The sequence below is a fragment of the Homo sapiens genome, chromosome 10, assembly GCF_000001405.40.
Source record: "Homo sapiens chromosome 10, GRCh38.p14 Primary Assembly".
NCBI classification, from domain to species: Eukaryota; Metazoa; Chordata; class Mammalia; order Primates; family Hominidae; genus Homo; species Homo sapiens.
Window position 1 is genome coordinate 32,135,627 of NC_000010.11, and position 15,581 is coordinate 32,151,207.

Consider the following 15,581-nt stretch of genomic DNA (forward strand, 5'->3'; position numbering starts at 1 on the left):
AGTGAATGTCAGGTGGATCAGAGAGATACAGTCATGGGGGTCAGGTGTGGTATCCAGAATAATGTGGGAGGCCGGATTGAAGTCTGGGCCAGGAACAATGGTAATTGTGGGAGACTCAACAAAGACTGAGTATATAGCTGAAGGTGCTAGGGGGCAGAAAGTATATGCATCAAGTGTGAGGAGGAAAATAGATTTTGAAAGTTATGGGAACTGTAGAGAGTTAAGTGGAGCATAGCTTGTGATTTTGAGGGCCTCTAAAATTATTAAAGCAGCGGCAGCTGCCACACACAGACATGAGGGCTATGCTAAATCAGTTAGGTCAAGTTGTTTGGACAGAAAGGCTACAGGGCACGGTCCCGGCTCTTGTGTAAGAATTCTGACCGCACAGCCCTGTACTTCGGCTGTGTGTAATAAAAAGGGTTGGGATGAGTTAGGGAAAGCTAGTGTGGGAGCAGCTTTTAGGGCTGTTTTTTAAGGAATGGAAAGGGGAGTGGGGAAAGGATTTAGGATTTATGGGGTCAGCTAGGTTTATCTAGACTGGGTTGTGGAGGGAGGTATTGAGGATAGGAGAGTATATGGGTTTGGCACCAAGGGGTGGATAAGCCAGACAATTTGGTTGATAAGGCACAGATCCTGAACTAAGCTGTAAGACTTGTCTGGTTTTTGGTCAGGTAAAATGGGGGAATTGTAAGGAGAGTTTATAGGCTTTAAAAGGCCATGCTGTAATAGGCAAGTGATAACAGGCTTTAATCCTTTTAAAGCATACTGTGGGATGGGATATTGGCATTGAGCAGGGTAAGGGTGATTAGGTTTTAATGGGATGGTAAGGGGTGCATGATCGATCGTCAAGGAGGAGTAGAAGTGTCCTATACTTGTGGATTAAGGTGGGGAGATACAAGGAGAGGATGTGAAGGAGGCTTTGAACTGGGAGAAAAGGCAGCAATGAGGTGTGGTTGTAGCCCAGGAATAATCAGGGAAGCAGATAATGTAGTTAAAATGTCTCCACCTAATAAGGGAACTGGGCAGATGGGGATAACTAAAAAAGAGTGCATAAAAGAATGTTGTCCAAGTTGGCACCAGAGTGGGGGAGTTTTAAGGGGTTGTGAAGCTTGGCCGTCAATACCCACAACAGTTATGGGGGGCAAGGGAAACAGGCCCTTGAAAAGAAGGTAATGTGGAGTGGGTAGCCTCCGTATTGATTAAGAAGGGGACCCACTTACCCTCCACTGTAAGAGTTACGCAAAGCATCTGTGATGGTCCTATAGTCTTCCAAGGCAATCAGGCAGTGTCAGTCTTCAGCTGCTAAGCCGAGAAGATCTGGGAGGGAGTCAGTCAGAGAGCCTTGGGCCAGAGTTCCAGGGGCTCTGGGAGTGGCTGTGGGGTTGGACAGTCGGATTTCCAGTGGGGTCCTGCACAGATGGGACATGGCTTAGGAGGAATCCCGGGCTGCAGACATTCCTTGGCCTAGTGGCCAGATTTCCAGCACTTGAAGCAAGATCCTGGGGGAGGCGGTCCTGGAGGAACAGCTGGCCACTGCGGTTCAGACGTTTTGGAATTCTTGTGTGCTGGAGATGTGGCTGGAGTTTCTCTCACAGTGGAGGCAAGTAATTGCAACTCAGAAATACGTGGCTACTTGGCTGCCTCTACTCTATTATTGTACACCTTGAAGGTGAGGTTAATTATGTCCTGTTGTGGGGTTTGAGGGCCGGAATCTAATTTTTGGCACTTGTTCTAATGTTGGGAGTGGATTGGGTAATAAAATGTATATTGAGAATAAGACAGCCTTCCTCTGGTGTCTAGGACAGTAAAGTGTCTAAGGGTTGTTGCCAAACGGGCCATGAACTGGGCTGGGTTTGTATATTTGATGAAAAAGAGCCTAAATGCTAACTGATCTGGGAGAGGTCAGAAAAAGAAAAAAGGAGCATTAACCTTGACTATGCCTTTAGCTCCAGCCACCTCCTTAAGAGGAAATTGTTGGGCAGGTGGAGGAGGGCTAGTCGCGCAACAAAACTGTAGGCCAGACCAGGTATGAGGAGGGGAGATAATAGAAAGATTATAGGGAGGGGGAGCAGAGGCTGAGGAAGAATTGGGACCTGGCTAGGCCTGGCGAGGAGCAGCCTGGGGAGAAGGGGAGAGGTCGGATGAGTCCGTAGAAAAGAAGGATTCAAAGGACTCAGAGCTTCGGGTGGAAACTGAACGAACAGACAGGAAAGAAAGAAGAAAGATTTGAGACAAGTCACATTGGGAGCTTTTCACACAGGCTAAGGGAGAAGAAGGGGAAATGGAGGGCGGAAGGTTGCCCATAGTGAAGGAGGTAAGTTTAAAGAGAAAGGTAGAGACACAGAGAAGGGGGTGGGTGAGCAGCCAAAGCAGGCGTCCCCGCAATTGACTTGCCACCAAGGGAATGTGGGTGAATGACCAAGGCAGGCGTCCCCGTGGTGATCAGACACCAATGAAATGTGGGTGAATAATCAGGCAGGCGTCCCCGCAGTGATTAAACACCAAGGGAAGACTGTCTTCCCGAGTCCGTGACCGGCGCCGGAGTTTCGGGTCCACGGATAAAATGTGTCTCCTTTGTCTCTACTAGAGAGGGAAAATAACTGGAATTGGAAGGACAGGGAGATTGAAGGGTAGCGAGAGAGGAAGATTGAAGGGTAGCAAGAGAGGCTGAAGACGAGTGAAAACACCGCTTACCAGATTTGAAATTGGTGAGATGTTCCTTGGGCTGGTTGGGCTGAGGACCTGAGGTCGTAGGTGGATCTCCCTAGGGAGTGAGGGCGAGGACAGGGGACCGGTCTCCCGAAGGAGTCCTCCTGTCCCGGGTCTTCGGCACCAAATGTCACGCGGGTCCGTGTGAAGAGAGTCCACCAACAGGCTTTGTGTGAGCAACAAGGCTGTATATTTCACCTGGGTGCAGGCAGGCTGAGTCCAAAAAAGGAGTCAGCAAAGGGTGGTGGGATTATCATTAGTTCTTATAGGTTTGGGATAGGCATACAAAGTACCTTCTTAAGGGCTAGGGGAGAATATTACAAATTACCTTCTTAAGGGTGGGGCAGAATGTATGTATCAGTAAGGGTAGGGCAGGAACAAATCACAATGGTGGAATGTCATCAGTTAAGGCTATTTTCACTTCTTTTGTGAATCTTCAGTTGCTTCAGGCCATCTGGATGTATACATGCAGGTTACAGGGGATATGATGGCTTAGCTTGGGCTCAGAGGCCTGGCACCCACCTTTTTGGACAAACCAATGTACTTCTTAAATATATTGATTGATGTCTCATGTCTCCCTAAATGTGTAAAACCAAGCTGTGCCCCGACCCACCTTGGACACATGTCATCAGGACCTCCTGAGGCTGTGTCACAGTGTGCGTCCTTAGCTTTGGCAAATAAACCTCCTAAAATGAGACTTGTCTCATCATTTTTCTTGACTGACAGAAGCTACGCAAGACCATCTCTGCAGGCTGCTGGCAGTTCCTTGAAGAGTACAGCTTTGGGGGCTTCTTGCCAGGTGCAAAAAAACACATTCACGTTTTACAGTGTGTTAAGGATCTCTCCTGTGTTTTGTGCTCCTCCTGGTTCCACCTGACTCCCTAAGAGGCTCCAAGAGTTGAATTTGCTGGCCTATTTCGAGGGATGGCCTTGCAGAGCTCCTCATTTCCTTTCTATTTTGTCTCCTTTAACCCAGCCTGTTGCTCAACTCTTTCCCCAAATCCCCAGGAATAACCCAAGGAAGAGAAGAAAAAGAGCTGCCAGTTAAAGTCACTCCAGATTCCCAAGGCAACCTGTTCCCCTGCCCACCCCCCTGCCGCTCCCCGCGGGGAGGCAGTCCTGCCTAGCACCACAGCAGGAGAATCAGCTGTTTCCTGCCCAACCTCAGTGGCTCAGGCTGAGTCATCCTTTTCCCTGCCTGGGTCAAGGCGTGGCTTCTCCAATCCCTTACAAAATGCTTCCGCCCCAAAATGCTCAGGCCAGCCTGTTAAGGGCTGGAGAGCCAACTCATTCAGTGTCTCCTTTGAATTTCATGAATTAAAAATGACTGCACTTAAAGCCCCAAAGTGCCACTAACAGACCTGAGGTGAACCCTGTTGGCCTTTGGCAGAAACCAAACTGCCCACATGCATTAAGTCCAGCGGGAGGACTGGGGGTTGGCCAGGGCCTGGCCTCTCCGATGACTAAAGAGACATGTGAGCAAAACCAGCTGTGGTCAGCATCATTCTTTTTTTGAGATGGGATCTCACTCTGTCACCCAGGCTGGAGTGCAAAGGCGCAACTAGGGCTCACTGCAACCTTCATCTCCTGGGCTGAAACAATCCTCCCATCTCAGCCTCCCAAGTAGCTGGGACTACAGGCATGCGCCACCATGCTCAGCTCATTTTTTTTTTTTTTTTTTTTTTGTAGAGATAGGGTTTCGCCATAGGGTTTCGCCATGTTGACCAGGCCAGTCTCAAACTCCTGGCCTCAAGTGATCCACCTACCTCAGCCTCCCAAAGTGCTTGGATTACAGACTTGAGCCGCCACACCCAGCCATCATCAGTCTTGCTTGTTTATTCAAAATGTAGGTATGGGGTATCCGTTATGAACCCAGAAGCATCTGAGACAGGACTCAGTCAATTTAGAAAGCTTATCTTGCCAAGGTTAAGGATGCACCCATGACACACCTCAGGGGGTCCTGGTGACATGTGCCCAACAAGGTCGGGGCATAGCTTGCTTTTATACATTTGATGGAGACACGAGACATTAATCAATATGTCTAAGATGTGTATTGGTTCCATCTGGAAGGGCGGGACAACTTAAAGATGGGGCAGCTTCCAGGTCATAGATAGATTTTAAAATGTTCTGTTTGGCAATTGGTTGAAAAAGTTATTATCAACAGAAAGGAATGTTTGGGTTACGAAAAGGGGTTGTAGACACCAAGTTTTTATCATGCGGATGAAGCCTCTGGGTAGTAGGCTTCAGAGAGAATAGATTGTAAATGTTTCTTATCAGACTTAAGGTCTGTGTTAATGTTAATGTTGGTCAGCTTTTCCTGAATTCCAAAGACAGGAGGGGATCATGAGGCATGTCCAACGCCCCCTTCCATCATGGCCTGAACTAGTTTTTTCAGGTGAACTTTCAAATGCCATTGGCTGAAAGGAGGGATCCATTCAGATGGTTAGTGGGCTTTAGAATTTTATTTTTGGTTTGCACTGTGACACATTGCTCAGAACCAACTTAGCGCACCACTGAGGACACCTTTTGCCCCTCGTTTCCAGCACTCCACTTGGCTGGTTTTAAGGTGCTAAATTCTGGAAGGGTAGAGATTGTGTCTGTGTACCCCCATGGGTGACAAGCAGAGGGCCCTGCATGCAGTGGGTGCTCAATTGATGCTTATTACGAGAAGAGATACAAATGAATGGGGATTCTACTGATTCCTATTACTACTCAATAACTAACAAGAGCTTCACGGTACTTAGTAGCTCTTTGTACTCCTTCTCCAGTAAACTTAATTTCAGATCATCGGTGCTTATGCAAGTCCTGTTTGATAACTGGGAAGCCTGAAATTGAGTGAGGTCATCAGTTGGCTACCACTCAATCTGACAGAATAAAATTCAGTCTTCCTTGTTGGCACCTTGAAGCTTTATTGTTTAGGAGGAGCAGAGATCTAAGAGGGAAATGAATGTCATAGCCGGTCACTTGGGCTGGCTGATTCAAGCTTAACTGAAGGTGACCTGAGACAAGAAAATTGCATTTGTTTCTGTGGCTGCAGAATTTTTTCAGGGGCAGATGCACAGCCAAGGTGCAGGGCCTCTGGGGTCCTTAGGGATGGCTGTGTTTTTCATGAGAAGCCTGGAAAGGAAGAAGGACTGGGAAGTAAGTGGGGGTGAAATGAACAAACAAAACTAGGAAGCCACCCTGCGATGGGCACATGCCGGGGTTGGCCTCCATGCCTTCATCTCTGTCGGGAGGCACAGACGTCCCGGAGCCCCAGAGGTCCTGGAGCCCCAGACAACAGCACTTATCTTAAATATTTCCCAATACCTTCACACTCATGGAAACAGAAGAAATGTTTCAAGGAGGAGACAGTGACATCATGCTCACTTTTGCGTGTAGCTCCAAGTTGTGCTGCGCCCTTTATTGTCATTCTGCAAACTCCCACGCTTAGCTTTTCCCTTCAAGCCGGAGAGGTGGAGTAAGTGGATTCCTCTATGTCCAGATGGGACTCTGATTCTCTCTCTTTTTTGTTTTGCTTTTTGTTTGTTTGTTTGCTTGTTTGTTTTTTTGAGATGGAGTCTCGCTCTGTCACCCAGGCTGGAGTGCAGTGGCACGACCTCCATCCCCCAGGTTCAAGTGATTCTCCTGCCTCAGCCTCCCAAGTAGCTGAGATTACAGATGCCCACCACCATGCCCAGCTAATTTTTGTATTTTTAGTAGAGATGGGGTTTCACCATGTTGGCCAGGCTGGTCTTGAACTCCTGACCCCAGGTGATCCACCCACCTTGGCCTCCAGAAGTGCTGGGATTACAGGCGTGAGCCACCAGAACCAGCCTTTTTTTTTTTTTTTTTTGACACAGGGTCTCACTCTGTCACCTGGGCTGGAGTGCAGTGGCTCCATCAGGGTTCACTGCAGCCTTGACTTCCTGGGCTGAAGCCATCCTTCCACCTCAGCCTCCTGAGTAGCTGGGACTAGAGGCAACATCACCACACTGGCTATATTGCCCAGGCTGGTCTCAAACTCCTGGACTCAGGCGATCCTCCTGCCTTGGCCTCCCAAAGCGCTGAGATTACAGGCATGAGCCACCATGCCTGGACTGATTCTCTCTTTTTTTTTTTTTTTAGAGACAGAAACTCACTCTGCCGCCTGAGCTACAGTGCAGTGACACAATCATAGCTCACTGCAGCCTCAAACTCCTGGGCTCAAACTCCATAGCTTACTACCTCAGTCTCCCAAGTAGCTGGGACTACAGGAACACACTACCATACCCAGCTAATTTTTGTATTTTTTTGGTAGAGAAGGAGTCTCTCTTTATTGCCCAGGCTGGTCTTGAACTCCTGGTCATCCTCTTGCCTTGGCCTCCCAAAATGCTGAGATTACAGGTGTGAGCCACCGTGCCAAGCTAGGACTCTGATTCTTAAATGGCCACATTCATGAATCACTATTTTTGGAGAGTCATTGTTTAGCAGGTCATTATGCACAGATTTTCCAAAAACCCACCTGGAGAAAACCGCTCACACTATGGCCTTGAGCATTGATGTCATCAGCACATAGGCCAGAGGGACCAGCTGTGAGTAATGCCCATAACAAGGGAACTTTCCATCTCAGGGAGAAGTTAGGGCTTTGCAAGATGTCTTATGGATGACACACAACTTTTATCTTCATTAATTAAAAGCAGTAAGAGTTTAAATTATGATAGCAATAATAGTAATTGTATGTAGCACTTTTTCGAAGTCCTGAGATATTGCTGCATTCCCCTCCTTTAGCCCCAAGAAGAATCTATTCCTTCCTCTGTGTCCTTATTTAGAGCTTATCTCTGGGTGGCATGAAAGAGACAGAGCACACTAAACTTAAACCAGAAGTCCTGAGTTTGAATCCTCATCTATCACTTATTAGTTAGAAGGCCTAAAATATTCACTCAAAATTTTATTCTCTGAACCTTGGTTTGCTAATCCATACAATAAAGACAATCACAAAATTTATCTCAAAGAATCATTGTGAGGATTATATGAGGTCCCAAGCAAGAAGTCAGGCTTTCAAAAAATACTTGATGGAAGAAGGAATTACACTGTATCCTAATGAATCAATCAACGTGTCTCAACTGGAACTGGCTTCATGCCGGTGATGGGACAGGACTTACTCATCTTTGTATCCCTGGCACCCAGCAAGTGCCCAGCCCATAATAGGTGCTGAATAAATGTTATTGAATCTATGAATGAATGAGCCTTGTAACTCATGACACTACTAGGGCAACTAGTCTGGGCAGTGTTGTCAAGAGCTCTGCTGAGCTGGAGAGGGCTGAACTGCCGGGGGCTGCCGATTAAGACAGCAAACTGAAATGAAAGTGAGAGTCTTGGCCAGGTGCAGTGGCTCACCCGCAGCCTCGAACTCTTGGGCTCAAGTGATCCTCCCACCTCAGTCTCCCAAGTAGCTGGAACTATAAGAATGTACCACCACATTTGGCTACTTTTTGTATTTTTTATAGAGATGGGGTCTCATCATGTTGCTGATCTTGAACTTCTGGCGATCCTCCTGCCTTGGCCTCCCAAAGTGTTGGGATTACAGGCGTGAGCCACCGTGACAGGCTAGAACTCTGATTCTTTTTTTTTTTTTTTTTTTTTTGAGATGGAGTTTCACTCTTGTTGCCCAGGCTGGAGTGCAATGGTGCGATCTCGGCTCACTGTAACCTCCGCCTCCCGGGTTCAAGCTATTCTCCTGCCTCAGCCTCCCAAGTAGCTGAGATTACAGGCATGCACCACCACGCCTGGCTAGTTTTGTATTTTTCATAGAGACAGGGTTTCTTCATGTTGGTCAGGCTGGTCTCGAACTCCTGACCTCAGATGATCCACCTGCCTCGGCCTCCTGAAGGGCTGAAATTACAGGCGTGAGCCACTGCACCCAGCCAGAACTCTAATTCTTAAATGGCCTCATTAAAGAACCAGCGGTTTTGAGGGGCATTGCATTCATGGGGTCATTGTGCACTCATGCTTTAGGACATCAAGCTGGGGCGGTGGCTCATGCCTAGAAATCCCAGCCTTTTGAGAGGCCAAGACGGGAGGATCACTTGAGGCCAGAGGTTTTAGACCAGCCTGGGCAACATAGTGAGACCTCATCTCTACTAAAAATAAAAATAAATAAATAAATTAGCTGGGTGTGGTGGTGACAGGGCTTGGCACTCCTGCACTTCAGGACACCATCTGGTCAAGAATATTCCCTTTGGCTGGGTGCAATGGCTCATGTCTGTAATCCCAGGACTTTGAGAGTATGAGACAAGGAGACTGCCTGAGGCCAGGAGTTCAAGACCACCCTGGGCAGCATAGCAAGACTCTGTCTCTACAAAAAAAAAAATTAAAAATTAGCCAGGTGTGGTGACAAGCACCTGTAGTCCCAGCTACTCAGGAGGCTGAGACGGGAGGATCACTTGAGCCCGGAAGGTTGAGGTTGCAGTGAGCTGTGATTGTGCCACTGCACTCCAGCCTGGGTGATAGAGCAAGACCTTGTCAAATAAATAAATAAACCAAATAAAGCGAGAGTCCACCCTTTATTCACTTACCACAATAGTGTAAGCAAGATGCTAAGTGGAAGAAAACACCAGTGCCCCTGGTTCCATCTCCCCCTGTGGAACAGCGTAGAGCATTGGCTTGTGCACTGTCAGTGCAGAGACGGCACACAGGGGAGGTGTCTCGCTACTGAGGGAGCCCAGAGCAAAGGGCTCCTGCAGTTTTATGGTCCTGGGGGACTGGGGTGGGGAGAGGGAATCTGGGACAAAGACTCTGAGTGGAAAAGTACCGAATACCATCAGGGTAGACAAAAAGTTTCTTCATAGTTTTCCTCTCTCCCCCGATAAGAGGTCTTGGCCTGAGGAAGGGGCACCTGGGCTAGGAACACAGCTATGTATAGGAGCACAGCTGGCCAGCGGGGCCTGAGCCCTCGACTGCAGCTCCCTTTGCAATGCCCTGGCTGTGCACCATGCCTGGTGCGGGGAGGACAGCTTTTCCCAGGGAGGCCTGCCAGGTAAAGCCTAGGTAACTGCCTAGGGTTGGGCCAGAAAAAAAAACACATACACGTAGGTATTTGACCAGAAGCCAGACTCCTCCTCCAGGATGCTACATCTGACAGATAAAGTACCCAGAGACTTACTTACTTACTTTATTTATTTATTTATTTATTTATTTATTTATTTATTTATTTTGGAGGGGACAGGGTCTTGCTCTGTTGCCCAGACCAGAGTGCAGTAGCACAATCATTGCTTACTACAACCTTGAACTCCTGGGCTCAAGCAATCCTCCCATCTCAGCCTCCTGAGCAGCTGGGACCACAGGCACAGGCCACCTTGCCCAGCTAATAAAAAAATTTTTTTTTGTACAGACAGGGTCTTTCTATGTTGCCCAGGCTGGTCTTGAACTCCTGGCCACAAGGGATTTTCCCTGCCTCAGCCTCCCAAACTGTTGGAATTACAGGTGTAAGCCACCGTGGCCTCCCACAGTAGGCCAGCCAGAGACTTTAAATACTTGTCTAAGTTTCTTTCTTGTGGCGGCTGCAGAGCTGGAACCAGAATAAAGTTCTTTGGGCTCTACCCTGGTTATATCACACTGGACCCTAAGTGGCTACATGAACAGTTGTAGCCTCAGATATGACAGGAAGTTGCTCTTCTGCTTTGAGAGGTTGTCCAACCCTGGCCAGCCAGAGTGAATTGTCAATTTCCAAAGCCTGTTGTGGGAGGCAGAATTTCAATCCCATGACCTGGACATGCCTACCTGGATGTAGGGCCCACAGAAATTGTGGGATAATAAATGGGTGTTGTTTTAAGTCACTGACTTGGCAGTCATTTGCCATGGTAGCAACAGAAAAACAAATACGCATGACCAAATGCTCAGCATAAGCTCCATCCTGCCCACTCCTCCTCACCATCCTGTCATGACCACTCTCAGACCTGGCCACCACTCCCACCATCAATTGTCCCTTTTGAGTCCTCTGTGAAAACTGTTCTTTTAATGCCCAGTCCAGACATTCCTGAGTGCAGCTCCAAGTTCATATTAAGCTGCCAGGATAGGAAGGCATTGGGCCCATTCTCTGACGTCGGGATGCTTGATGATGGCATCCCATCCCTTCTGTCTGTGAGATACCCCGTGGAAAACTCTCAGATCAAAGAACTAAGGTTGCCAGGTGAGATACAGGATGCCCAGTTAAATATGAATTTCAGGCTGAGTGCAGTGGCTAACACCTGTAATCCCAGCACTTTGGGAGGCTGAGGCAGGAGGATTGCCTGAGGTCAGGAGTTTGAGACCAGCCTGGCCAACATAGTGAAACCCCATCTCTACTAAAAATACAAAAATTAGTTGGACGTGGTGGTAGGTGCCCATAATCCCAGCTACTCCAGAGGCTGAGGCAGGAGAATCGCTTGAACCCAGAAGGTGGAGGTTGCAGTGAGCCAAGATCATGCCATGGCACTCCAGCCTGGGCAACAGAGTGAGACTGTCTCCAAAAAAAAAAAAAAAAAAAGCAATGGAAAAACAAATGATATATTAGTGTGTCCCAAATATTGCATGGGACATACTTACACTGAAAAATGTTTCATTTTTTTTTCAAGACTGATAACCCTAAAGGGAGCAGATATTAAGACTAGAGTATTCTAGAGCAAGTAAAACTTACCAGGAAAGTAGTAAGTCGTGACCTAAAGTTGATCTAGCCTCCCCCTTCTGGGATTGGTGCCCTTTTGTTCCTGCCACCACCAAATCTGATATCAGAAAAGGATCTTAGGTCAGATGCTTACACTTCAGTGGGGATTTTTTTGTCAGCAGGGGGTGCCTACATCTTTAAACCTGTATTCTTTTTTGCTTATTTTTATAGTGTTAGGGCCTACAAGTGCAGGTTTCTTACATGCATCTATTGCGTAGTGGTAAAGCCAGGGCTTTCAGGGTACCTATCACCCAAATAGTGAACATTGCACCCAATAGGTAATTTTCAGCCCTCACCCCCTCCCACTCTCCCATGTTTTACAGTCTCCAGTGTCTGTTATTCCACACTGTGTGTCCACGTGCACCCACTGATTCAACCTATGTTCTTTTTTTTTTTTTTTTTTGAGTTGGAGTCTTGCTCTGTTGCCCAGGCTGGAGTGCAGTGGCATGATCTCGGCTCACTGCAACTTCCGCCTCCTGAGTTCAAGCTATGCTCCTCCCTCAGCCTCCCAAGTAGCTGGGATTACAAGTGCCTGCCACCATGCCCAGCTAATTTTTGTATTTTTGTGAGACAGAGTTGAACCATGTTGGCCAAGCTGGTCTCCTGACCTCAAGTGATTCCCTCCACCTCAGCCTCGCAAAGTGCTGGGATTACAGGTTTGAGCTACCACACCCAGCCTCTTTTTTTTTTTTTTTTAATTTAGGGGATAGAAGTGCAGATTTCTTACAAGCATATATTGCATAGTGGTGAAGTCTGGGCTTTTGGTGAACCCATTACTTGAATTGTGAACATTGTACCCAACAGGTAATTTTTTGACCCTCACCCTTTCCCACCTTCCCACACTTTGGAGTCTCTGGTGTCTAATATTCCATCTGTATGTCCACAGGTACCCATTGCTTTGCTCCCCCTTCTAAGTGAGAACGTGCAGTATTTGACTTTCTGTTTCTGAGTGATTTCACTTAGGATAATGGCTTCCAGTTCCATCCATGGTGCAGTAAATGTCATGAGTTCATTCCTTTTTATGTCTGAGTAGTATTCCATACTGTATACATACCACATTTTCTTTATCCTATGTTGATGGACACTTAGGTTGATTACATATTTTTGCTACTATGAATAGTGCTGCCATAAACATATGAGTGGGGTAGATTCTTTTTGATACAATGATTTCTTTCCTTTTGAGTAGATACCCAGTAGTGGGATTGTTGGAGCAATGGTAAAGACTTTTTGAATCTTAATATTGTTATATTTAATATCACTTGATCCTCTCAGTTTCATTCTAGAGAGGACGAATCTCACGGAACTGACATGGCCCAGTACTCCCGTGCTTCGGGACATCGTCTGGTCAAGAATGTCCCCTTTGGCTGGTAATCCTAGCACTTTGAGAGGCTGACGTGGGAAGATCGCTTGAGGCCAGGAGTTTGAGGCCAGCCTGGGCAATGTAGGGAGACCTTGTTTCTACAAAAAACTTGAAAAATAAGTTAGCTGATTGTGGTGGTACATGCCTGTAGTTCCAGCTACTCAGGAGGCTGAGGTGGGAGGATCACTTGACTCTGGGAGGTTTTTTTTGTTTGTTTGTTTTTTGTGTTTTCTTTTTTGAGATGGAGTCTCGCCCTGTTGCCCAGGCTGGAGTGCAGTGGCACGATCTTGGCTCACTGCAACCTCCGCCTGCCAGGTTCAAGCGATCCTCCTGCCTCAGCCCCCTGGTAGCTGGGATTACAGGCACACGCCACCATGCCTGGCTAATTTTTGTATTTTTAGTAGATATGGGGTTTCACCATGTTGGCCACGCTGGTCTCAAACTCCTGAGCTCAGGTGATCCACCCACCTCGGCCTTCCAAAGTGCTGGGATTACAGGTGTGAGCCACTGCACCCAGCCTTTAACTCTGGGAGGCTGAGATTGCAGTGTGAGTTGCAATCACACCATCGCATTCCAGCCTGGGCAACAGAGCAAGACCCTGTCTCAAAAAAAAAAAAAATGTTCCCTTGGGGTCTCAGAGATATTCCACCCACCCACCTCCCCACCCCCTGCCGAGGAACTGCCTCTCTGGCCTCTCTCTGAGGCTCCCTTTTCAGCAGGTGGGGTGCTCACCCCTGAATAGGATACCAGGAGACAAATTTTGTCCAGCACCTCTGATACAGCGCTCTCTTGTGTGTTTTGGTGACAGGTGAATCAGATTTCCATTTAAAACACCAATGCCAAAAGGGAGAGAGAGAAAAAAACTAACCGGCCTGGATGACTTTGGAGGATGATTCTTTGTTTTAATTCTGACGGCCAGAATGGAAAGTTGGCAACTCATTCTGAAAGACGAGAGTGCTACAGGCAGCTGTGTAGCTAAGAGATAAAAACCACCAACGGGAGCAGCTCATCTAACCTGAACCGTAGCAGAGAAGGGACAGACAGGCGAGTACTCCATTTGAATCTAGGTCTCAGCCTCCCAGGGTGGGATCACATTGCCCAATTGTGACGTCACTCAAGCCATTCCCATGCCCGTGGCCCATTTTTTAAATTACTTCACAATGGGCGCAGAAGCCAAATTTGAAATAAATGACTCCATGACTCAGACTGTTAATCTCTGTTTTGACAACCAACAGCAAGTCATTGGGAACTTTAACTTACATTTGGTAGGGAACATCACAACTTCATGCAAAGGTCTCTTTAACTTATCCTCCCACCCCAAAAAAGTGCCAATTGTGTACAGGCAATAAAGCAGATTCCCTTGTATTTGGAGAAAATAGCTAAGCTTCCTCTTCAGCAGAAAGCCTTGAGGAAGAAGTTAAGAATGCAGCCTTTGGAGTCAGGCCTGTGCTTGCACATGAATCCATACCTCACTGCCCTCCTCTGTAGGTGGCAATAATAATATCACTCACTTCCTAGGATTGTTGTGGTGATGCAATGAGATCAAAAGTTTTAGCAAGATGTCCTGTAGCTACACAACAAATGCAGGCAATTTTCATTTATGCTTGTATTTGTAAACAGAGTATCAGAGTGAAACAAAACCAAAAAACAAAAATGAAGAGAAGTCCTTGGTCCTGCTCATTATTGTTTTTATTTCTTATAGATGAGGTGCTTAATAGCTACCTGTCAACAATAACGCCCGGCACACCTGGGAGATTTGAGGAAGCATGCAGAACCATTCCACTAAGTCTTTTTGTGTTTTTTTTTGTTGTTGTTGTTTTTATTTATTTATTTATTTTGAGACAGAGTCTCACTCTGTTGCCCTGGCTAGAGTACAGTGGCATGATCTCAGCTCACTACAACCTCCACCTCCCAGGTTCAGGAGATTCTCCTGCCTCAGCCTCCTGAGCAGCTGGGATTACAGCTGTGCGCCACCACGCCCGACTAATTTTTGTGTTTTGTTTGTTTGTTTGTTTGTTTGGGTTTTTTTTAATTAGAGACGGGGTTTTACCATGTTGGCCAGGCTGGTCTCAAACTCCTGACCTCAAGTGGATCCACTGGCCTCAGCCTCCCGAAGTGCTGGGATTACAGGCGTGAGCCACCACGCTCAGCCGTTGTTGTTTTTTAGACAGAGTCTTGCTATGTATCCAGGCTGGACTCAAACTCCTGGGATCAAGTGATCCTCCTGCCTCCGCCTCCCAAGTAGCTGGTACTACAGGCACATGCCACTGCGCCCAGCTTACCAAGTCACTTAACAGGAGTATTGCTCGCTAGAGACAGCACAGCCTAACCTCCTCACCGAGGACTGTGGGATCTGCGTGCAGAAGCATTTTCTTTCTCTGATACAAGTTGCTGTGAGAAGCAAAAATTAAACTCCAACTAACACCAGATGATGACCTTCAAAATGTTCTCTTGAATGACAGAAAGCTTGCATGACATCATGCCCTTCCCTTCGGTTTATTCCTGTTGTTGTTTTTGACTCCTTATCTGATTTCTAAGTTTGCTCCCTCATTCAGCCTTATCTTATCTGAAATGGATCCGTGAAGTAAAAACAATTTCCTGTGGTTTTTACCTTGTTTTTCCTCTAACTAGAAGTTAAATCACTCATGTTTACCATATGCCTACAACCTGCTGGGGTTCTGAATTCAACACAAGAATTTGAATTTTCACAAAAGCTTTTCGAAGTTTCAGAAGCTCTTTTGACTCTTATTTCAAATACATCCTGGAAGCTGTGTTGGTTCACCCACAGGACCTGGAATGGCTTTGCCCAGGAGATATGATTGGCCAGCTCAGCTGCTTCCCCTCTCATTT

General features: G+C 47.0%; 3 annotated features.

Moving 5' to 3' along the window:
* Positions 3,611 to 4,340: an enhancer, noted in NCBI's record as "H3K27ac hESC enhancer chr10:32428165-32428894 (GRCh37/hg19 assembly coordinates)". NCBI's record gives its function as "activates a minimal SCP1, AML or CMV promoter by ChIP-STARR-seq in naive H9 embryonic stem cells {active_cell/tissue: H9 hESC(naive)}" and the evidence as "EXISTENCE:reporter gene assay evidence [ECO:0000049][PMID:30033119]".
* Positions 7,974 to 8,023: a silencer, noted in NCBI's record as "silent region_2282". NCBI's record gives its function as "represses an Ori minimal core promoter by ATAC-STARR-seq in GM12878 lymphoblastoid cells {active_cell/tissue: GM12878}" and the evidence as "EXISTENCE:reporter gene assay evidence [ECO:0000049][PMID:35858748]".
* Positions 8,064 to 8,133: a silencer, noted in NCBI's record as "silent region_2283". NCBI's record gives its function as "represses an Ori minimal core promoter by ATAC-STARR-seq in GM12878 lymphoblastoid cells {active_cell/tissue: GM12878}" and the evidence as "EXISTENCE:reporter gene assay evidence [ECO:0000049][PMID:35858748]".